This window comes from Homo sapiens, chromosome 4 (assembly GCF_000001405.40).
Source record: "Homo sapiens chromosome 4, GRCh38.p14 Primary Assembly".
Taxonomy (NCBI): Eukaryota; Metazoa; Chordata; class Mammalia; order Primates; family Hominidae; genus Homo; species Homo sapiens.
In genome coordinates this window covers 164,344,704-164,369,204 of record NC_000004.12, presented here as the reverse complement: position 1 = coordinate 164,369,204, position 24,501 = coordinate 164,344,704, and the positions used below count along the sequence as shown (strand labels likewise).

Genomic DNA, 24,501 nt, shown 5'->3' with positions numbered 1-24,501 from the left:
ATGCTTTCAGTGGGAAGCGTCTGGCCGTGAGCCTGTCTGGGTCTGTCTCAGCTGCCAAGAGCCACCTAGACCCGGGTTAAACCACCACCCTCATCCCCGGAGCAGCCCACTTACCTGAGAGAGGGAGCTGATATAAACGTTCAGTCATAGGACAACTCTGATGGACCCTTGCTCTGGATGGAAGGAGTGAGACTTTGCTGGCCTGCAGCACAGTTCAGCTTCTCCCTCTGTCCAGTCAGAACTCCTGTTCTTTCTAAAGTTTCCGTGTCTAATAGACATTTTGTACCATGACTGTTCACAGCACCAGCTTGTAGAGACCCCAACCTGCAGTAAGGTTGAAAGCTGGTATCATAGCCTTTTCCTTGGTTTAAAGTAAACAACTTCTAATATTTCACAATTTAAATAGGTTTCTTTTTCTCCTTACTGTGGAAGTCATATTTATTTTCTTGTGAATGGATGTTCAAGTGTTACAAATATAATTTTTTGGCTTCTAATCTGTTCATATGGTGAATTTCTAATAATACACAGTCCCTGCATATTTAGGATAAATCCTGGTTGGTCATTATGTGCACATATTGCTGAATTTGGTTTGAAATGTATTTTTTAGGATTGTTGTAGCTATATCAAGAAATGAAATCTTGTATTTTTCCTTTTTTGTGTTGTTGTCTAGCTTTGATAATAAGGTTATATTAGCCATAAAAGTGAATTTTTCTATGGAAAAGCTTGTATGATTGGAGATACCTTTTTCTTGAATGTTCAGCAAAACTTCCCTATAAAACCTTCTAGTATTGGTGTATTTTAAGTTACTAATTCAAGATAATAATCATTATAAGTGTCTTGATGTTTTCTACTTATTTTTAAATTATATTTATGTTTTTCTAGAAAATTATTTTCTTTTTCATTTGTTCTTAAATTATTCAACATAATATATCTTTATGATTTTAAAAAAATCTCTACTTCATCTAGAATTATATGATATTATTTTTATTACCAAAGATTTTTTTTTTTCACCTAGGATTTGGCTATTTTTTAAACATATATAAGAAAAATCAGTTTTTTAAAGAAAACCATTTCTTTGTGGTTTTTTTTTTCTAGTTCATTCAGTGATATTTTTCTATTTTCTGATTTCTTGGGTTTAATCTTTTATTGTCTTTTTTTAAATCTTTTTTTTGTGTTGAATTCTTAGCTCATTAACATTTTTATCTTTTCTGATGTGTACTTCAAGGGGTGTATTTTCACACTATATACTACTTTAGCACTATTGCCAAATTTTGATATACATATAGTGTTTGAATATTGGACTTAAGAGATGATGGAGATACAAAAGATACTAAACAAAAGAAGCAAAAAGACTCTAAGAAGGTTAATTTACACCTTCCTGCACTGGACTCATGCAATTTCACAGGTGAATTTATTTAAAACTTTAAAAAAAGATAATTAAATTTCAATTTAAATTGTTTTAGAATACTGAAAAATAAAAACAACCTAATTTTTAAGAAATATGCATAATGTAAACAAACGTTGTAGAAAATTGGAAAAAGAAAATAAAGGTAAAAAAGAAGGGGAAAAGGAAGAACTTTAAATCTAAGTCATTCCTACCAAGTGAATATTGGTGTCAAAATTCAGGAAAAAAAATCAAGAAAAGGAATATGGAGATATATTAAAACAATAAAGTATAAAAACGAAGTTATTTCTAGGAATAACTTTTTAACTTTAGAAGACCTATTAATATATTTCATCCAATTAACATTTTAAGGGTAAATATTACTAGATATTTTCAATAGATGTTCAAGTGATTTTTGATAATATACAAATACATTTCTGATTTAAACACATTAGTAAAGCAATAGAAGGAATTTTCCTTAGTATGGATAAATACATATTTAACCTGATGCTTAGAGTAACAATTTCAGTATGCTGTCTGTATAAAATTAGGAATAATAGAAGACTCTCCATGATCACCATTACCATTTAGTATTTTTTCTGGAAGTGCCAGTCACAAGCTAAGAAAATGTAATAAGGAGAAATTTGGACATGAGTAGGCAAGTCTGTCTATATTTGAAATATGACTATACTTGTATGGCAATGGTTTCTGTGAAAAAAATTCCCTCTCTCCGGTGCTTGGGCCCTCTGAACACATGTCACTTTTGTAACAAGATTTTCTCCGTTTGGTAACTAGACTGTACCTAAAAGAATGGAAGAAACTTAGGCCTTGTGTTAGGAACTAAATGACACAAATTTGCAATATTGCAGTGGTTTGAATTAAGGTAAAAATGCTGTGAGGTTGGTGCTTAGTAATGACATAAATAATGAGTAAATTATTTTGAATTAAACTGTTCTGAAACACTTAGAAATAAGAAAATTACCCTAATTTTTACTGTAAATGTAGGTGACAGGTACATATAAATAAACATGTATAAAACTTTTATAATATAAGAAGATATAATGGTATAAAATAAAAATTTAATATGCTGAAACATACTAAAATGCATATACAATAAATAAAATTATATAGCTAACTGGAAAAAATGAGGCAAAAATGCAACAGTTTTGTCAAAATGATAAAATTATGCTGATATTTTTCCTTTATCAAAAATATATTTAATATTTTTCAATCATATTTTCAATAAAATGCTTTAAAATTATAGTATTTGTTGTATGTCTATGTAGAAGGGTCAGGTCCTTAACCTGTCAGTATAAGACAAACTGCTTCCTCCTAGGAACTTGAATGTATGCAACACAGAAAAAGAAAAAAATACAATATTAAGTTATATTTATGTTATTCTTTAATTTTATAAAAGATTATATGCACATCCATTTTTCAGTTCAGTTATCACTACAGTCTTTTCTATGCTGGCCCTTCTCCTGGAGTGTAAACTTTATAAGAGCCAGGACTATGTTTGTATCTGCATAGCCTAGCCACAATTCATTACTATGTATATGTCTATTGGACTGTTTATTGGAATGGACAAGCCCTATGAAATATGCAGAAGTATTATTTATATGCCCTTGAATGCGAAACTTGTATTGGAAGGTTAATGATTGTGCCCCATTAAATATTGTCAGGATTTTAACACAACTTTTCTGATTTTATATTCATAGTTCTATTTATGATATCATCCTTTTTTTCTGGTAATAATTAGCCAAATTACTATAACAATAGAAAATACACAGAGAGTCTTGCAACTTCTTGTTCAAAACAAATGTATGCAATGTGTGCGTTTCAGAGGGGAGAGAGATGATCAAAACTTGAGGAGCCTGGGAAGGCATCATGATGAAGTGAAGGATAGGAGGAGGGGGAGATTAAGGTTAGATGCCTTATATTTTTCTTCTCAAGGGCTTTCATAATTTTCATACAAAATAATGTTAGCATATATACTTGTTTATATAGAAAGGTTTTCCCTAGTTAATGAGACCTGTCAAAATGTGATGATTTGATGCACCAACTGAAATCAACAAACAGGAGTTCAAATCTAGTTCAACTTTTCATTGGCCTCTGACATTGGGGACATAGCTTAATTCTTCTAATCCTCAAATTTCTCATTGGTAAAGTATGAATGATAACATCTAAGTAAATGAGATTGCTATATTAAATAAAGTAGTGCTTACAAAGGCCTTATACATAAATATTTAGTCATTGTTAACTGCTCTTATTATAATTATCATTTATTTTCCTTTACATCTGTGCTAAATTTTGTTTTTCAGAGATGAAGTAGAAGCTTGGTTTTTCTTAACACAATCTACAGTTATGTTTATTTTCTGTTACCTTACGATTTTTCTCTGTCTTATGAAACAAGAAAGATCTAGCCAACACATATCAATTTCTACTTAAGAAAGCAAAGTCTTGTTAATGCCAAATAAAATTTAAAACAGTCGAATGGAAGTAGAATGGAAATGACGCATTGTGAAAACCAACCTGAATCAACCTTTTTTCACTAAATATTTGCATTTTTCTCGAATTCACTTTTTATGTGAGTCCAGATAGATATTTCTCATGTAAGTATTTCTAAGGCATTTCTTTTTTTAAAGGTGCATTTATTTTATACATTTAGGAAGTGTCACTGATTGCATTCAGTCCAAGAATCTGTTACTCTATTCGTGGCAGGGAATGATGAAGACATAGTAATCAGCCTGGTTAACTGGATGTCAACTCCACTTCCTTTTAAATAATAATTCCATAATTATCAATTTTGAGGGATAAAAAATATTTCAAATGGTCTAAATTTTGTGGTATGAATCTTCAGTTTTATTGAGTTTCATTAACTGAATGATTTTATTGAATATTTTGTGTGTTACTCTACCCTGAGGAACAGCTGTGAAAAGATGAATAGATCAGATAATCTACAGGTTATAGAATTACAAAAATAAAAAATGGCTAGAAAAGATAAAGGAAAAAATGGTGAGGGAAATATGTGAAAGAAAAACCTCAAATGGGTTAAACTACCTTCATCAAATGGTGAATAAAAGGATTAAGAGAAAAGAAGGAATTGTCTTTTTATTTAAAAAAAAAAAGGAAAATTGTTCAAGAGAAGGTTACAGAGGCATTACAAAAAATTTGAGATTGAAAAATTTAACTCTAAGAATAAATGGGAAACCTCTGAAGGAAACATTAAAATGAAGAAAAATCAGAACAAGGGGTGGCAAATTGAATATGGAGAGTTGTAAAATGTATGTTCAACGTTAAATATGAGCACAAAAATAAATGAGTAGATTTGTCATTAAAATGCAGAGTTAAACAATTTCCTTTGTGATAGATAGTGGTTTTTATTCATATTTTGGTTCAGATGCTTACTTTATTTACCACTACAACTCACAAAATGAATGTATTTTTAAGATTTGCTAAATTCAAAAGTGATCTCTAAATTTCAGAAAGAAATCAGATATTCAAGGGCTCTGGTAGGAGCCTTTAGTCCTTTACTCACGTTTTTACTGACTATATGAACTTGCACATAATCTGTCTGTAATCCAAATGAAATGGTCTAATGCACAAACATATTGTTTTCAAGAAATACCAGAACTTTTCTCTGACTGACTAAAGGTTATTAAAAATGTTTGTTCTAAAATCATTTCTAATTTTTGATTTAAGATGTCTGGTCTCTCCCTTCCCTTCTTTGATAAATAAGGCTGCTACATTTCCTAATTTTTCTAGATGTTTACGCAATATAATAATGATAAAATCTAAATAATGGACGACAAAAAATTAATGTTACAAAAGGAAAATATTCATTCTTTTTTGTATATTTTTATGATGATTAGGGTTTCTAATACAAAGGAAAGCATTCTTTTGTATTTGAAACCCTATCATTGTGCTTGCTGAATTGAACATTGCTGATAACACCAGAAGACCCCTACATTCTCTACTCAATAGGAGAGCTAATGAGGTGGCATGTGATGTAGATCCATAGTATGTAAGAACACAGACACACACACACACACACGGCTTATTAATAATGTAATGTTAAATAATACAATGCAGGGCATTTACATTGAATGACGGTTTTGTTTACAGCAGATTTGCTGGTTCAGAAGGGACCAGTTGATCCACTTAAACTATTTTACTTCTTGAGTAGCCCTATTTCTGTTTTGTCCTTTTTCCCCCCAAAAATTTATGGCCAGGAGCTACCTGGATGAACTTTGTTGGCTTTTCTACTCGTAGGGTCCTGTGGATGCCTTTTCGTCAATCGACACTATCCACATCTCTAGTGGCCTCTGTTCTATTTCTAGCTATCCAGAGAAAATCTGCCAGTTATAGTTTTGGTGCCCTGGAATTCTCTCACAAAGATAAGAAGTAGTTTATAGTTTGGTTTCAACTGTTTGTTAAATATTTAAATATTCACATTTTCTTCTTAGGAGAAAGAGTTATCTCAGAAAGATAAGAAGTAGTTTATAGTTTTGTTTAAACTGTTAAATATTGAAATATTCACATTTTCCTACTTCTTCAGAGAAAGAAAATTGGCCTTTCTTAGTCTACCCAGTTTCTGCTGTTATTTTTTTCCCCAGGTTCAGTCTGTAATTACACATTTTTATTTTATATCATCTGGATATATCTTTTCTTATACCATTTATTGATTCTATAAAAGTCTGCCGTGTTTAACTTTGAAACAGAATAGAACATATGTATATTTTATGTATACTAAATTGTTTTCTTGTGGGTTTATTGTTAATAAGCCTTTTACCTTCTGGGTTGTTGGACTGTTGCAGACTACAGCAATTATGTATGCAACAAGAGCTTATGTATTCTAATTAGTATTTTTTTAGACATTGTGAGAAATGATCTTAACAATTATATATTGCAGAGAAACAGTTTTCCAGAAAAACAATTGAAAGACAAATAAGGCAGTTTAGGAGGATCATCATAAAATAAAATATCAAAATGAGAAATTGGAACAGAGGAACATCTATTTATAGATGATACTATTTGTAAATGAGTTTCTAGCCATGGCAAAAATTTATGTTTTTGTCTCTCACTAAATTATGTTTAAAATTGTTATGCAAATTCCCTGTGATTTTGTATCTGTTATTTTCTTTGCTTGTCTAAGTCAGAGATCACTATTTAAGTTTTAACTAGTAACAAAAGTGTGCACCATTTGAACCTCAGTTATTAGTTTGGTTTATGCGAGAAAATTTCTGACCACTTCTTGGTAGTAAAACGTGGCTGGTTTCTAGTCCAATTAGCCTTGGGCATCTATGTGTCAATAAATGTGGGTACAAGGCCCCTGGTGGAGGCAGAGCTTCCTCTAGCTCCCTGTATGGCCCTGATCTTCACCCACATAATCATGTACCCCCTGGACTCATGTCTCCCAGACATTTTCACTAATAAAAATGATTGTTGATCATCTAGATTTTTCTGGTTTGGGGTACATCACTATTTTCCTCTAACAGTACAAGTAATAGAAAGTTGGACATTTTAAAACAAAATAGAATTATTCACAAGTTTGAAAGATTAATTTTTTTAAAAGTATGTATCTCTGTCTTAGATATAATCACACACAAATGTCTGTAGGTTTTAGATATTAATCATTGTAGAAAAGGTTTTCTATACAAGCCAGTTTCTTTATTTGTTCACTTACTACATCTCTTACCTCCATACCCCAGTCATACTTAAATTTAAACTACATTTTTTGTGATAAAACCATTTGGTGTTTACTGAGGGAAAAATATGAATGAAGAGTCAACCTTGAAATCTACAAGTGCATAATTTACCCATGAGCTTAAGTGTATCCCCAAATGCATAATTTACCCATGAGCAAAGTATTACTCTGAATTTGTAATACTTGGGCCAACTAGATAGAAATACATGATTAAAATTGTTGGCATTCATTTCTGTAAATGAGATGTAAATTAAATCATGTGCTCTATGGCCATTATGGTACAGTGTTGTGAATGTAATTTCAAAATCCATTCCAGAAGTTTGTATACTTACCCATTTATTAAGTCCTTCCTTAGTAAGTTATCATTTAAAATTGTACATGTTTAAAATGAAAACCTCAGAAAAGCATGTAATATATTGATTACGCTACAATAAATTCTCATGGTGAAGGATTCTTTTGGCATACGTTATCACTCATATCAAAAACAGCTTTCTACAGTGGTAGTAAGAGACAGGCGAAGCTCAGAGTTGCATGAATATATACAAAAATGAGAGAAAAATCACAGAGGCAGAGTCTAGATGAGAAGGTGGGGGCCAGGAAACTGTTCTGTTTCTAGATAAACAGCAGTTTCAGTAGATACTGCAGATCTTTGGTAAGGCCCATAATGGAATGACATCCAATTTCTTTATAGATTTATATTGTACTGATTCATATATTAGCAAATTAGGAAGTGTGACAACGGTTGCAGTTGTAGGAGGATGGTGGTTGCTGAAGGGTCTAATTTAATTTGAGCTTCGAATAACTGTGGGCAAAAAGAATAAGGATTCTTGTAATTAATATAAAAGTTTGATAAAAGGAAATGTCCATTTTTAAATGCAAGTGTGAAACTTAAAAGATAGCAGGGCAGAGGAGAGAATTAACTAATAAAGCATCAGAAGAGGAAAAGAGTAGAGTCGGGATTAAAACTGATATGCTTTGGTCATGTTTAGCCAAGTGTTTCACCAGTCCTTTATGTGGATGAACTATCATCAAGACCAGTGTTATGATACACAGCACTGTACCATAATGACCCTAGACCATCAAGTGCTCTAGACCATCAGGTGCTCTAGGGTCATTATGGTACAGTGTTGTGTATGTAATTTTAAAATTCTGCATACAGAACCCATGCATATCAGTAGGTTCATTTTATGTGTATTTGCCTAAGATAATTTAGAAATAGTATAGAAATAGTACCTATAGTTTACTACCAATTATGGGTTCAGGTATTCTCCACTAATTATTTCTTTTACTATAGAATTCCAAGTTAGAGAATCTTTTAGCTATTATTATAAATTGATATATGAAAATGACAATTGCAATAGAAGTTTTGGAGACCGTAGCAGAGAGAACAGTGCTGCAGGCCACTTACTGTAGTGTTTCTCCAAGCATATCCATGGATCACCTGAGTAAGAATCTTTTAGAAGGGCTATGAAAATTTGGAGCCCCATCTCAGTAGAACTCTTTGGGTGGGGCTGAAAAATCGACACTTAAACAACTCTTTGGGTGATGCCTATGTACACTGAACTACAACTTCATAAAACACTGTTGGAATAAAACATATTCCTGTTCGAATATGAACACATACCATCACCATGCAGTAGGAATTGTTTTTTATTGTCTTAGTTTTCTCCCAACCACTTCTCCCTCCAACTATTTTAAAGCGAAGAAAATAATAGAGACATAAGAATCTACAAATAGCAGGAATTCCTGTTATGGATTTTTTGGAGACCTAGAATTCCCCTTCTTCACTCAACAGGGAGTCAGATGCCTAAGAGACCACTGTACCTGGGAAACCTCGCAAGATAGCCACCTGCAGTATCAAATATTTTGCAAAATCTGGATTTTTTTTTCTTTTTTGCCAGTGGATACAGCTGGAAGCTTTTATCTTGCAGACAAACCTGGTAGGAGAAAAGCCCAGTGGCTCTGCTGGGTCACAAAATTTTTGTGATGCTCTTGTTAACGATTACACAAGGACAATGAATGAGATAAGCTGGGGCAAGTGTTGCTATAATAGGTGTGCAATACCTGCCCGCATACTGATTGCGCGGAGTGTTCTGGGGGGTGGGGTTCACACGGCCTACTAGAATATGACACTCTCTGGAATAATGTCATTTTTTAATTTAAAAAGTCTCTATCTGTGGTTCTCAGATTTTTGTGTGAATCACAGTCCCCTTTAGAACTGCTAAAAACCAGATTTCTGGGCCCTACTCCCAGAGGTTCTGACAGTTTAAATGAGAACACAGCCTGTCATTTTCCTAGAGGCTTGTGTTTACTGGAGAGATGGACTTACAGGTGGTAGCTAAAATGTAAGCACATATGTTACAGCACTGTCAGTATTTATAAGGACATTAAAAAATAGACATTGTTACAGCAGAGAACTTACTATAATAACAATAAATAGTTAAGCTCTGGAGAATTCCTTAGTTACTTTATTAAAGCTCCCACATTGAGATGGCAGCATAAAAACAATTTGAATATTCTGTTGTAGTTGATTAAAATGTATATTCACTTTCCTATATAGAGTATGGATGATGAAATGATGAAATTCCATAATGTACATACAGCGTATCAGAAGTAAGGACTTCAGATGAGCTTGACTAAGCATCATACCATAGGAAATGTCTCTCTTCTCAACAGAGGAAGCAGTTCAGGGATTTATCTTGAAGTGTAGCAGAAATAGTAGCTTGATGGAAGGATCTCACTTCAGACAGATCTGCTGAAGTTTGTTCAGAACTTTTAAATGCATTAGACAACAATGCTGAAAACAGTGGCAAACGAGAGAAAGAACAAATTCTTCCCCAAACATTCTTTCATGAATAGAGAACTATCTCTCAGAACTACCACACACATGCAATGACACACATCACTGGAGTTAATAGAGTGCTTAAAGCACGATGTGAATGGCCACATCTTCCGAATATTCTCTAACTGCTTGGTGCAAAGCAACAGAATTGCTTTCCTATTACATATATCTATCGCACTAGAAATGTTTACTCTGAATCCCCAGAATAAAACAAAAATTTTTGTTTTTGTAATTTGTCAGTTTTTTCAGAGTAATAAGAGAAAGATCTTTCTTAAATGGATTGATATAATGTATTATCATATTTTCCTCCATATATTTTAAAGAAAAACATCATTGCTATAAAAATACATGAAAAAATGACCTTTGGAGCGTCTTTTAACATTTTTATGTTTTCATTTTTTAAAAATCCAATTGCTCGATGTCCAATATTATCAGTAGTCAGAAAAAGCTGGTTCTTAAAATAATAAATGTTACTCTATAACATTTCTATTCCATGAACTATTCTGAACTTGGTTTAATAGAAACCACATTTCATTTTCTTGGGATACTATTGATAATATTAATCCAATTACAACCTCATGATTTTATTCACTGACTTCCTTCTTTAAAGATAGCTACTTAAATGATAAACTACTGAAGTGAACCAGGTCTACCAACTACCATTTACCCAGTAATATCTCCTTTCACTTTCTCTTCATTCTGTGTATGTCACCAAAGCAAAATTCATGTTGAAAATGTCATTTATTTCTGTAAAACTAATTTCAGATATCCTGTTTAGTACGTTTCATTTTGAAATTCTTGCAATTCTGTTTCTTATCAGTTTTCTTCTCAAACTGAGCCATAGTTTCTTCTATCTTATAATTCTTTCTCTGGTGCAAAGAAAACTTCCTTGGATAGCTCATATTCAAAATAAGTTGACTAGTGACTTTCTTTATAGCATTTATGTCCCCCAGTGACATTGGCAAGTTCAAGGCTTCCCCTTTATGACCTGTATCTATTTCTAGGCATTCCAAGAGGATGCTGTGGCCTCCTGGTACACATCTAAATCTTCATTAACACGTGGGGTCAGTCTGAGAAGCAAACCTTACCTAGCAGAAGAGGCTTTACAAAGTCTCCTCTGACTCACCCTGGGCTCTAGTTGCATAATGTGGACTGATTAATGTAAGCTCTAAGTTTTTGTGGAGGGAATTTTCTCACCTTCCTCAAGAGTGATTCATCTTGTATTTATTAGGAAAAAATAGCCCCAGTGTGTAATTTCTACAGCCTTTACTTCTCTTATGTTTCTCACCTTGTCATCTGTCACCTGATCACCGAAAATCTACAGCTCTGTGGGAGAATCTGAAACTCTTTCTGATGATGTTTCTTTCTAGAAAATGATTGTTTTCCTTTTCTTCTGAGGTTTTAGGGAAAAATTATTTCTTAAAAATCTATTTTGTACAGACTGAATACCTAGCTAAAGGTTTTATGCTGTTGGTATTGGGGAGGACAGAAAGAAGCTGTTTTAGTTGTTATCAATTGACACTTCAGTACCCATTGTAAAATAATATTCATTTTTACAATGCCTTCATCATTATAAGATTCTGATTTTCTTCTACCTTGAAAATTGGCTATACTCAGAATTATTCTCTTAAGTGTATTTAATTGCATTACAATTTTTCAAAATTAGCATCTCTTATTATCTTACATGGGTGTGGTAGACTGAATTACACCCTCCTAATTCAAAACCTTCATCTCATATGCGCTGAACCTGTGCATGTTACTTTATTTAACTAAAGTGACTTTGCAGATATGATTAAATTAAGGATCTTGAGATGGGGAGATGATTCTGGGTGTGGCAAACTGTAATCACAAAGATCTTTATAAGAGGGAATCCAGAGGAACCTGACTCAGAAAAAGAGATGTGATGGCAGAAAGACAATGAAGTGATGAGCTTTGGAGATGGAGGAAGGAGCCACAAACCAAGAAATCTAAGTGGCCGCTAGAAGCTGAAAAGACAAAGATACAGATTCTCCCCTCACAGTCGCGAAAAATGAATGAGCCCTGGTCATGTTTAACTTGCTGAAACTGATTTGGGACTTCTGAACCCCTAGAATTGTAAGATAATGCATTTGTGTTGTTTTAAACCACTAAATTTTTATTTATTTTTTTTTTTCTTAAAAAAAAACTTAAGTTCAGGGGTGCATATGCAGATTTGTTATATAGGTAAACTTGTGGGGGTTTGTTGTACAGATTATCTTGTCACCCAGGTATTAAGCCTACCCACTAGTTATCTTTCCTGATCCCCTCCTGCCTCCTACCCTCCACCCACTGGGGCCCAGACAAGTAGGCCCCAGTGTCTGTTGTTCTCCTCTATGTGTCCATGTGTTCTCAACATTTAGCTCCCACTTGTAAGTGAGAGCATGATAAACCACTAATATTTTTCTGATTTGTGCAGTAATAGAGAACTAATACAATGGACAAAAGTGTTAACAATACTATTTTTTTTTTTTTTGCTTTTCTTTTTTTTTTATTATACTTTAAGTTTTAGGGTACATGTGCACAATGTGCAGGTTAGTTACATATGTATACATGTGCCATGCTGGTGCGCTGCACCCACTAACTCGTCATCTAGCCTTAGGTATATCTCCCAATGCTAACCCTCCCCACTCCCCCCACCCCACCACAGTCCCCAGAGTGTGATCCCCTTCATGTGTCCATGTGATCTCATTGTTCAATTCCCACCTATGAGTGAGAATATGCGGTGTTTGGTTTTTTGTTCTTGAGATAGTTTACTGAGAATGATGATTTCCAATTTCATCCATGTCCCTACAAAGGACATGAACTCATCATTTTTTATGGCTGCATAGTATTCCATGGTGTATATGTGCCACATTTTCTTAATCCAGTCTATCATTGTTGGACATTTGGGTTGGTTCCAAGTCTTTTCTATTGTGAATAATGCCACAATAAACATACCTGTTCATGTGTCTTTATAGCAGCATGATTTATAGTCATTTGGGTATATACCCAGTAATGGGATGGCTGGGTCAAATGGTATTTCTAGTTCTAGATCCCTGAGGAATCGCCACACTGACTTCCACAATGGTTGAACTAGTTTACAGTCCCACCAACAGTGCAAAAGTGTTCCTATTTCTCCACATCCTCTCCAGCACCTGTTGTTTCCTGACTTTTTAATGATTGCCATTCTAACTGGTGTGAGATGATGTCTCATAGTGGCTTTGATTTGCATTTCTCTGATGGCCAGTGATGGTGAGCATTTTTTCATGTGTTTTTTGGCTGCATAAATGTCTTCTTTTGAGAAGTGTCTGTTCATGTCCTTCGCCCACTTTTTGATGGGGTTGTTTGTTTTTTTCTTGTAAATTTGTTAGAGTTCATTGTAGATTCTGGATATTAGCCCTTTGTCAGATGAGTAGGTTGTGAAAATTTTCTCCCATGTTGTAGGTTGCCTGTTCACTCTGATGGTAGTTTCTTTTGCTGTGCAGAAGCTCTTTAGTTTAACTAGATCCCATTTGTCAATTTTGGCTTTTGTTGCCAGTGCTTTTGGTGTTTTGGACATGAAGTCCTTGCCCATGCCTATGTCCTGAATGGTAATGCCTAGGTTTTCTTCTAGGGTTTTTATGGTTTTAGGTCTAACGTTTAAATCTTTAATCCATCTTGAATTGATTTTTGTATAAGGTGTAAGGAAGGGATCCAGTTTCAGCTTTCTACATATGGCTAGCCAGTTTTCCCAGCACCATTTATTAAATAGGGAATCCTTTCCCCATTGCTTGTTTTTCTCAGGTTTGTCAAAGATCAGATACTTGTAGGTATGCGGCGTTATTTCTGAGGGCTCTGTTCTGTTCCATTGATCTATATCTCTGTTTTGGTACCAGTACCATGTTGTTTTGGTTACTGTAGCCTTGTAGTATAGTTTGAAGTCAGGTAGTGTGATGCCTCCAGCTTTGTTCTTTTGGCTTAGGATTGACTTGGCGATGCAGGCTCTTTTTTGGTTCCATATGAACTTTAAAGTAGTTTTTTCCAATTCTGTGAAGAAAGTCATTGGTAGCTTGATGGGGATGGCATTGAATCTGTAAATTACCTTGGGCAGTATGGCCATTTTCACGATATTGGTTCTTCCTACCCATGAGCATGGAATGTTCTTCCATTTGTTTGTATCCTCTTTTATTTCCTTGAGCAGTGGTTTGTAGTTCTCCTTGAAGAGGTCCTTCACATCCCTTGTAAGTTGGATTCCTAGGTATTTTATTCTTTTTGAAGCAATTGTGAATGGGAGTTCACTCATGATTTGGCTCTCTGTTTGTCTGTTGTTGGTGTATAAGAATGCTTGTGATTTTTGTACATTGATTTTATATCCTGAGACTTTGCTGAAGTTGCTTATCAGCTTAAGGAGATTTTGGGCTGAGACAATGGGGTTTTCTAGATAAACAATCATGTCGTCTGCAAACAGGGACAATTTGACTTCCTCTTTTCCTAATTGAATACCCTTTATTTCCTTCTCCTGCCTGATTGCCCTGGCCAGAACTTCCAACACTATGTTGAATAGGAGTGGTGAGAGAGGGCATCCCTGTCTTGTGCCAGTTTTCAAAGGGAATGCTTCCAGTTTTTGCCCATTCAGTATGATATTGGCTGTGGGTCTGTCATAGACAGCTCTTATTATTTTGAAATACGTCCCATCAATACCTAATTTATTGAGAGTTTTTAGCATGAAGGGTTGTTGAATTTTGTCAAAGGCTTTTTCTGCATCTATTGAGATAATCATGTGGTTTTTGTCTTTGGCTCTGTTTATATGCTGGATTACATTTGTTGATTTGCGTATATTGAACCAGCCTTGCATCCCAGGGATGAAGCCCACTTGATCATGGTGGATAAGCTTTTTGATGTGCTGCTGGATTCGGTTTTCCAGTATTTTATTGAGGATTTTTGCATCAATGTTCATCAAGGATATTGGTCTAAAATTCTCTTTTTTGGTTGTGTCTCTGCCCGGCTTTGGTATCAGAATAATGCTGGCCTCATAAAATGAGTTAGGGAGGGTTCCCTCTCTTTCTATTGATTGGAATAGTTTCAGAACGAATGGTACCAGTTCCTCCTTGTACCTCTGGTAGAATTCGGCTGTGAATCCATCTGGTCCTGGACTCTTTTTGGTTGGTAAACTATTGATTATTGCCCCAATTTCAGCTCCTGTTATTCGTCTATTCAGAGATTCAACTTCTTCCTGGTTTAGTCTTGGGAGAGCGTATGTGTCGAGGAATGTATCCATTTCTTCTAGATTTTCTAGTTTATTTGCGTAGAGGTGTTTGTAGTATTCTCTGATGGTAGTTTGTATTTCTGTGGGATCAGTGGTGATATCCCCTTTATCATTTTTTATTGTGTCTATTTGATTCTTCTCTCTTTTTTTCTTTATTAGTCTTGCTAGCAGTCTATCAATTTTGTTGATCCTTTCAAAAAACCAGTTCCTGGATTCATTGATTTTTTGAAGGGTTTTTTGTGTCTCTATTTCCTTCAGTTCTGCTCTGATTTTAGTTATTTCTTGCCTTCTGCTAGCTTTTGAATGTGTTTGCTCTTGCTTTTCTAGTTCTTTTAATTGTGATGTTAGGGTGTCAATTTTGGATCTTTCCTGCTTTCTCTTGTGGGCATTTAGTGCTATAAATTTCCCTCTACACACTGCTTTGAATGCGTCCCAGAGATTCTGGTATGTTGTGTCTTTGTTCTCGTTGGTTTCAAAGAACATCTTTATTTCTGCCTTCATTTCGTTATGTACCCAGTAGTCATTCAGGAGCAGGTTGTTCAGTTTCCATGTAGTTGAGCGGTTTTGAGTGAGATTCTTAATCCTGAGTTCTAGTTTGATTGCACTGTGGTCTGAGAGATAGTTTGTTATAATTTCTGTTCTTTTACATTTGCTGAGGAGAGCTTTACTTCCAACTATGTGGTCAATTTTGGAATAGGTGTGGTGTGGTGCTGAAAAAAATGTATATTCTGTTGATTTGGGGTGGAGAGTTCTGTAGATGTCTATTAGGTCCGCTTGGTACAGAGCTGAGTTCAATTCCTGGGTATCCTTGTTGACTTTCTGTCTCGTTGATCTGTCTAATGTTGACAGTGGGGTGTTAAAGTCTCCCATTATTAATGTGTGGGAGTCTAAGTCTCTTTGTAGGTCACTCAGGACTTGCTTTATGAATCTGGGTGCTCCTGTATTGGGTGCATATATATTTAGGATAGTTAGCTCCTCTTGTTGAATTGATCCCTTTACCATTATGTAATGGCCTTCTTTGTCTCTTTTGATCTTTGTTGGTTTAAAGTCTGTTTTATCAGAGACTAGGATTGCAACCCCTGCCTTTTTTTGTTTTCCATTTGCTTGGTAGATCTTCCTCCATCCTTTTATTTTGAGCCTATGTGCGTCTCTGCACGTGAGATGGGTTTCCTGAATACAGCACACTGATGGGTCTTGACTCTTTATCCAACTTGCCAGTCTGTGTCTTTTAATTGGAGCATTTAGTCCATTTACATTTAAAGTTAATATTGTTATGTGTGAATTTGATCCTGTCATTATGATGTTAGCTGGTTATTTTGCTCGTTAGTTGATGCAGTTTCTTCCTAGCCTCGATGGTCTTTACATTTTGGCATGATTTTGCAGCGGCTGGTACCGGTTGTTCCTTTCCATGTTTAGCGCTTCCTTCAGGAACTCTTTTAGGGCAGGCCTGGTGGTGACAAAATCTCTCAGCATTTGCTTGTCTGTAAAGTATTTTATTTCTCCTTCACTTATGAAGCTTAGTTTGGCTGGATATGAAATTCTGGGTTGAAAATTCTTTTCTTTAAGAATGTTGAATATTGGCCCCCACTCTCTTCTGGCTTGTAGGGTTTCTGTCGAGAGATCCGCTGTTAGTCTGATGGGCTTCCCTTTGAGGGTAACCCGACCTTTCTCTCTGGCTGCCCTTAACATTTTTTCCTTCATTTCAACTTTGGTGAATCTGACAATTATGTGTCTTGGAGTTGCTCTTCTCGAGGAGTATCTTTGTGGCGTTCTCTGTATTTCCTGAATCTGAACATTGGCCTGCCTTGCTAGATTGGGGAAGTTCTCCTGGATAATATCCTGCAGAGTGTTTTCCAACTTGGTTCCATTCTCCGCATCACTTTCAGGTACATCAATCAGACGTAGATTTGGTCTTTTCACATAGTCCCATATTTCTTGGAGGCTTTGCTCATTTCTTTTTATTCTTTTTTCTCTAAACTTCCCTTCTCGCTTCATTTCATTCATTTCATCTTCCATTGCTGATACCCTTTCTTCCAGTTGATCGCATCAGCTCCTGAGGCTTCTGCATTCTTCACGTAGTTCTCGAGCCTTGGTTTTCAGCTCCATCAGCTCCTTTAAGCACTTGTCTGTATTGGTTCTTCTAGTTATACATTCTTCTAAATTTTTTTCAAAGTTTTCAACTTCTTTGCCTTTGGTTTGAATGTCCTCCCGTAGCTCAGAGTAATTTGATCGTCTGAAGCCTTCTTCTCTCAGCTCATCAAAGTCATTCTCCATCCAGCTTTGTTCCGCTGCTGGTGAGAAACTGCGTTCCTTTGGAGGCGGAGAGGCGCTCTGCTTTTTAGAGTTTCCAGTTTTTCTGTTCTGTTTTTTCCCCATCTTTGTGGTTTTATCTACTTTTGGTCTTGATGATGGTGATGTACAGATGGGTTTTTGGTGTGGATGTCCTTTCTGTTTGTTAGTTTTCCTTCTAACAGACAGGACTGTCAGCTGCAGGTCTGTTGGAATACCCTGCCGTGTGAGGTGTCAGTGTGCCCCTGCTGGGGGGTGCCTCCCAGTTAGGCTGCTCGGGGGTCAGGGGTCAGGGACCCACTTGAGGAGGCAGTCTGCCCATTCTCAGATCTCCAGCTGCCTGCTGGGAGAACCACTGCTCTCTTCAAAGCTGTCAGACAGGGACATTTAAGTCTGCAGAGGTTACTGCTGTCTTTTTGTTTGACTGTGCCCTGCCCCCAGAGGTGGAGCCTACAGAGGCAGGCAGGCCTCCTTGAGCTGTCGTGGGCTCCACCCAGTTGGAGCTTCCAGGCTGCTTTGTTTACCTAAGCAAGCCTGGGCAATGGCGGGCGCCCCTACCCCAGCCTCGCTGCCGCCTTGCAGTTTGATCTCAGGCTGCTGTGCTAGCAATCAGCGAGATTCCGTGGGGTAGGACCCTCCGAGCCAGGTGAGGGATATAATCTTGTGGTGCGCCGTTTTTTAAGCTGGTCTGAAAAGCGCAGTATTCGGGTGGGAGTAACCCGATTTTCCAGGTGCGTCCGTCACCCCTTTCTTTGACTCGGAAAGGGAACTCCCTGACCCCTTGCGCTTCCCAGGTGAGGCAATGCCTCGCCCTGCTTCGGCTCGCGCCCGGTGCACGCACCCACTCGCCTGCGCCCACTGTCTGGCACTCCCTAGTGAGATGAATGCGGTACCTCAGATGGAAATGCAGAAATCACCCATCTTCTGCGTCGCTCACGCTGGGAGCTGTAGACCGGAGCTGTTCCTATTCGGCCATCTTGGCTCCTCCTCCCAACAATACTATTGAACTGGCTTCTCCTAAATAAGGAAAGGTAACATTGTACTATGCTTTGGTATATGAGGCTAGATTGGCACACATTGTTTTTTCTTTTTCTTTTAGTTGACAAGAAATAATTGTACATATTTATGGGACACAGAGTGATATTTTGATACGTGTATATAGCGTGTAGAGATCAAATCAGTAATTAGCTTATCCATCACCTCAAACATTTATTATTTCTTTGAGTTGGGAAGATTCAAAATCCTCTCTTTTAGCTTTTTGGAAATATACAATAAATTATTAAATATATTCATCCTATGGTGTCATAGAACACTAGAACTTATTCCTCTTATCTAGCTGTGATTTTCTATCCATTAACAAACCTCTCCCTATCCTCCCTTCCCCCCAACCCTTCCCACTTTACTAACCTCAATTCTACTCTGAACTTGAATGAACTCAGTTTTCTTTGGCTCTTACATATGAGTAAGAATGTGCAGTATTTATTTTTCTGATGGCACACCTGATTTTAAACATAGACTTTTTGCACAGTGAGTCAGCATACACATACATATACATACACATCAGTATACAATACCATGACTATGAGAGTAAAGCATCTTTTTCTTTTCTTGGATTATTAAAATATGTATATATTTGTTTAAATAGATGTTCTTATTCACTTGAATATGTTTTACATGCATTGTGAACATTGCAATTTAATCTCAGAACTATGCAAAATATGTTCTATGACCTCAATTTTGTAATGAAGAAACTGAAGCTTGGTTGACCAAAATCATACAATCATAAGTGATAGAGTTGAAATTCCAGCTTTCATGTTTCTGACTTCAAAAGGTAAGTTTTTTAACCACTATGTTACATTGTCTTCTGTATGTTTGAAATCTCTTGACAACTTTTGAACAATTTGAGTGGATAAGTTTAAATACCATCATTACATGTGACTTTCCTGTTTTACCTCAAGTGCTGAAGAAATATTTTTCCATCTTCCTCCTTATTTCTTTCTTTATATTACATTCTTTTATAGGTAACTGCTATGTGCTGATAAATATCCTTGTAAGTATAGTGATTTTGATTATGATATTCAAGTCCTATAAATTATAGAGTACTTGAAGTCTTATGAAAACTTTTACTCTCTAAAATTGTACTAATTCCAGAAGCATTCCCATAAAAGGACATGAAAACTATAATATTGGACAAATACTAGAAAATAAGTACTGTACTTTGAAAAGGATATATATTAGAAAAAAGTACCACCAGCCTTTCTTATATAAAGATTGATAGTTCTGAATGGGATTGTTATCAAAAAAAGAATACTTCAAAATTGAAAGATGTTGAGTAGATGATGGTTTCATATTATTATGTCTTATTTTAACAATACTGTTGGAGATGAGAGGAATAAAAATGCAGAGGTATTGTAACTTTTCTCAGATTTAACTTCTACCCAGGAGATAGAGCAGAAAACATTCTTGGAGTTCATAGCACTTTGAGAAGTAGAATTAACTTTCAATTCATTTGTGTCGTTTTAAGAGGATATACATTACATACCATGAAGCTAAACATGAACTTATGAGTCAGGGCAGATCTATTTTGGTAACTGAAAGGTTGATAGAATGGATTCCACAGATCTGGTAGGGAGAGGGACTAATTTTCCCTCCTCCACCGTTACCCGACCCTGTTCTGTGTGCATCAGTACCATTTCCATCTGGTGGGAAAAGTAAAGCCTTCCCAGATAGAGGAGATTCTTTGGGTATAATAAAGCATTGCTTACCCTTAGATCCTCAAAGCAGGTTTTGTTGATTATGAATTAACTGTCTTCACTAGAGTATGAGACACTCTAAATCAGGGAGCTTATCTGGCTAATTCTTTGTGGTATCTTCTGTATCTGGAAGAGTGCAAGCAATATAGTAGTATTTCAATAAATAATCTTGAGTGTGTATGGATGAACTGACCAAACACCCCCTGCCATGGTCACTTAATGACTGAAGACCAGGAGACCATGTTTCTAGGCGAGAATAGTGTCTCCTGTTTCCTTTGCTGTTTTTCCATAATGCTTACTTGTTATTATTAATTCATTCTCTGTCCATAGTTTTATTTCTATTTAGAAATGATACTGATATTAACTTCTCATGGACTTTGGAGCCCTGTGTTTCTCAAGATCTGTCTCTAAGCCTTCTTAGAAAGAATATCAGTATGTTCTCTGCCATTTGGATTCTTCATGTAGCACCAAGGAGAGCAACATCTACTTACAAATAAGCTACGTCATATCTATGTCTTTGGCACTTCCAGGTCAAGGGAACAAACCATGAGAGTCAAAAGAAGTTTGGATTAGATAAATTCCAACATTCATGTAGAAGTGAAAGAATTGTGTTCATAAAAATTAAATAAATATTGTATCTCTATTCCTCATTTTGTTTTGAAGCAAGTCAGGATGAATCTTTCTTCTTCCTTTCTTCCTTCCTCCCAAAAGAAAGTTTATAAATCAATATTGGCTAAAATGCACTATGGGCTGCTGAGTGAACTCCATGCTTTTAAGTAAGTCTGATCTTCTACAAAAAAAAAGAAGCATACTCTTTTGATGCCAATTATTGAGAAACATGTCTGGATTTTATCTCTCTCTTTTTCATCTGCTTCTAGAAAATTGCAAAAATGTCAGATTGCCACCACCTCCCACAGGCAAGTGTTCAATTCTTTTTCATTTAATTTATGCTTATCATTTAATTCTGCCTGCCCTCCCTTCTCAACTAAATTTTTAAAGTCTGATAGGATTAGGAAAAGGTCAACTTCTTAAATGCTAAGTACTGATACACTTCTTAAATGCTATATACTGACAAAATGAAAATATATAATAAATGGCATTAAACACCATGAACATAAACATTTTCTATTCATTTTAAATAGCTCTAAAATAGATATTTTTCATTTTGTTTCTTTGAGCATCTTGGTTTTTGTTTCCAGTTTACCCTACAATCCCTAAATTAATGTCCATGAAGTACAAAACCTTCTAGTAACTGCAGAACTCACAAATAACAATTTTTCCTCAGTACTGTTCTCCACTAAAAAGCTATTAAGAGTTGTAACTGATGTCTTATTTTGAGAACTAAGATTAGGAATGTTTTGATTATTCTAAAAAATGGCAGCACGGTGGATATCTTAGAACTAAATAATTAGCCCACTTTGGAAAACGGAACAAGTTGCCTTTTAGCAATATGATAAATTAAAAGAAAATAAAAATAGGTAAGAACAGTCAAAGGAAATAAACATTGAATTTGACATGATGCAGAGGGTATGTCAAGCCCCTTGGCTGAGTGGGATAATAGAGGAAAACACCTGGCCCCTTTACCTAAAAGAGATACTTGTTTCTGGCAAAGAAAAGAATTTACCTGATTCTTCAGCCATACAAGTCACCAGAGGCAGTCCTAGTTCAGCAGCATTTGGAAGGACACATAGAAATAAAATCTGGCACCTCTGACAATGAAAAATGATGGATTAAATAAAAATAAGGATATTCAAAAGAGGTGTTCTAGAATAGCACATCACTTCTTCATTTAGCTTAGTGCAAATTCAAGTTGTTCCTCACAATTTTTTTTTCACATGTTCTTTATTTATTTGGCAAATGTGGAGTACCAACTATGGCCGGATTCAGTTCAATGTGTTTGGGAAACATCAGTATATAAGCAAGGGTCCATGTCTTCCCAGCAAACACTCAGTTGGAGGGGAGTCCCAGTTGTGAATGCCAGGATAAAATGAATTTTAAAAATCTAGTCTGGAAATATGAGTCTTAAAAAACAGGGAGTTTTCTAAATTAAAGAATTAAAATATTTTGTATTTACATTTACATTTTTCCTAAAGATGTTTAAAGAGGGATACTCCTGACTCTTTTAGGTATGATGAAAATCGCTATAAAGTATATGGTTCTCTGCAAATCTGCATTCATTCATTCAAAAAATTATAACTGTACTACCTGATACTCATGCTAGGTGCTGCACAATAAAGCCATTGTTTAATTCCATACCATCTCTGAAATGAAAAGAATAAGCATTTTTCATGCTTTAGTGCTTATAAAAGCATATGGACATATATATATATATATATATATATATATATATATATATATATATATATATATATATATATATATACATACATACATACAGGTTTGAGGACATCAGCATTTGTCAGGTCCATTCATTACTGGGTTTGGTACTACAGATACCAAGAGGCAAAAGATGAAGACCTGGCCTCCAGGGCCTTTCAGTCTAGCAATTGTGATGTATTCTTTAAAGACTAAGTATATGCAATCAGTGCAACTCAGATTTATCTGCTCTTCAATAAACAGTGGATTGTAGAAAATTATAAAATCACAGTTTCTCAAAGCATACGAGTTTTTCTTTTTACCATGTCAGTGGTTCTACCTATTTAATAACATTTGACTTCTGCACATTTATAGAACGTAAAATTCTAGTTATGCCAGTATGTCCTTTGTCTCTTTATTACTTGAGCTCAACTCCTAAGAGACTCATTTTCTATATCCTGATATACCTAGGGCATTATCTGTTTAGTTCTGTTTAACTCATTTACTCAGAGCTAATGAGAACAAAGTCTCAGTTCTGATACCCAAAGAAATAATGTGGTCATAAGCTGCACATTTGCCATGTCAGCTCTTAACCAGAGTGGTGAATTTGTTTTAGTACCAATCAAACCATTGGCCTGAAAAACATTCATTTTATTGTTAAAAATGAACTTTATGTAAAAGCCTGATCTTGTTTATTTATTCAATTACTAATAAAGGCATCATGAATGATTTTATTGTGAGTCATTAAAATGGGCTTTAGTATATCTCTTATTAAATTCTTCAGAAAGCTTCCAATATTTACAATGCATTATGAAGTTATGGAATTCAGGAGTGCTTAAGTGTTGGAAAAAATTAGAAAAAAATAAACAACTTTGAAAACAAAAAACCAGCAGCAGATGATAAAATACCACAACAATATCTAGTAGGGAAGCCAAGGTCCAATAACAATATTTAACATTGACAAGAGTTCACAGTAAGGTATTAAGCAAAGTCAAATTTGCGTGATGTGTTAGCTACAGGAAAACTTTAAAGTTTTAAATTTTATGCTTTTAAATTTATTATTATTATTATTATTATTATTATTATTATTATTATTATGTTTGAGACAGATTCTTGCTCAGTTGCCCAGGCTGGAGTGCAGTGGCACCATCTTGGCTCACTGCAGCCTCTACCTCTGGGTTGAAGTGATTTTAATGTCTAGCCTCCCAAGTAGCTGGGATTACAAGCATGCGCCACTACACCCAGGTAATTTTTGCATTTTTAGTAGAGATAGGACAGGGATTCACCATGTTCCCCAGGCTGGTCTTGAACTGCTGGACTCAAGTGATCCTTTGGCCTTGATGTTCCACAGTACAAGGATTACAGGCCTGAACCACTGTGCCCAGCCATACATTTTATTTTTTTAATTGACAAACAATAGTTGTACATATTCATGGAGTACATCGTAATGTTTTAAGACACATAATGTATGGTGAACAGATCAGGGTATTAACATAGCCATCATATCAACATTTATTATTTGTGTTAGGAATTTTTAATATTCTCCTTCTAGCTATTTGAAAATATATATTATTGATAACTACAGTTATCCTACAATGGTATAGAGCACTAGCACTTATTTTTCCTGTTTAGCTGTAACGTTTTGGCCTACTAATTATAGATTTAGTGACAAGCATAGTGGCTTAGCATGTGTGAAATATTTAATTACAATTTGCCAAAGAGAAAACTTCATTAATGAGCCTATGAATGAATTGATTTTGGTTATGAAGAACAAGACTTTTTAGATACAAAGAGCAAAGGACTTCTTTAGTCTAATCTTCAGTTTCTTTAATTTGTAATGCTGGGTAGGTTGCTTCAGGACAGGGGCGTTGCTTGCTATTTTTAGTTTTATTTCTTTGTATGTTGATGGATGGGCAGAGAGGTTAGGTTTTGCCAAAGTTAATAGTTAAGTAGCATAACAGGGCAAAA

The 24,501-nt window shown here is 35.3% G+C and overlaps 1 protein-coding gene across 5 annotated transcripts in view, besides 1 other annotated feature; it reads left to right on the top strand.

Moving 5' to 3' along the window:
• Positions 1-24,501, top strand: part of MARCHF1 (membrane associated ring-CH-type finger 1) — an 859,722-nt gene that overhangs the window by 14,815 nt on the left and 820,406 nt on the right. The gene's annotated exons all lie outside the window — the stretch shown is intronic.
• Positions 17,565-18,182: an enhancer, noted in NCBI's record as "NANOG-H3K27ac-H3K4me1 hESC enhancer chr4:165272175-165272792 (GRCh37/hg19 assembly coordinates)". NCBI's record gives its function as "activates a minimal SCP1, AML or CMV promoter by ChIP-STARR-seq in naive H9 embryonic stem cells {active_cell/tissue: H9 hESC(naive)}" and the evidence as "EXISTENCE:reporter gene assay evidence [ECO:0000049][PMID:30033119]".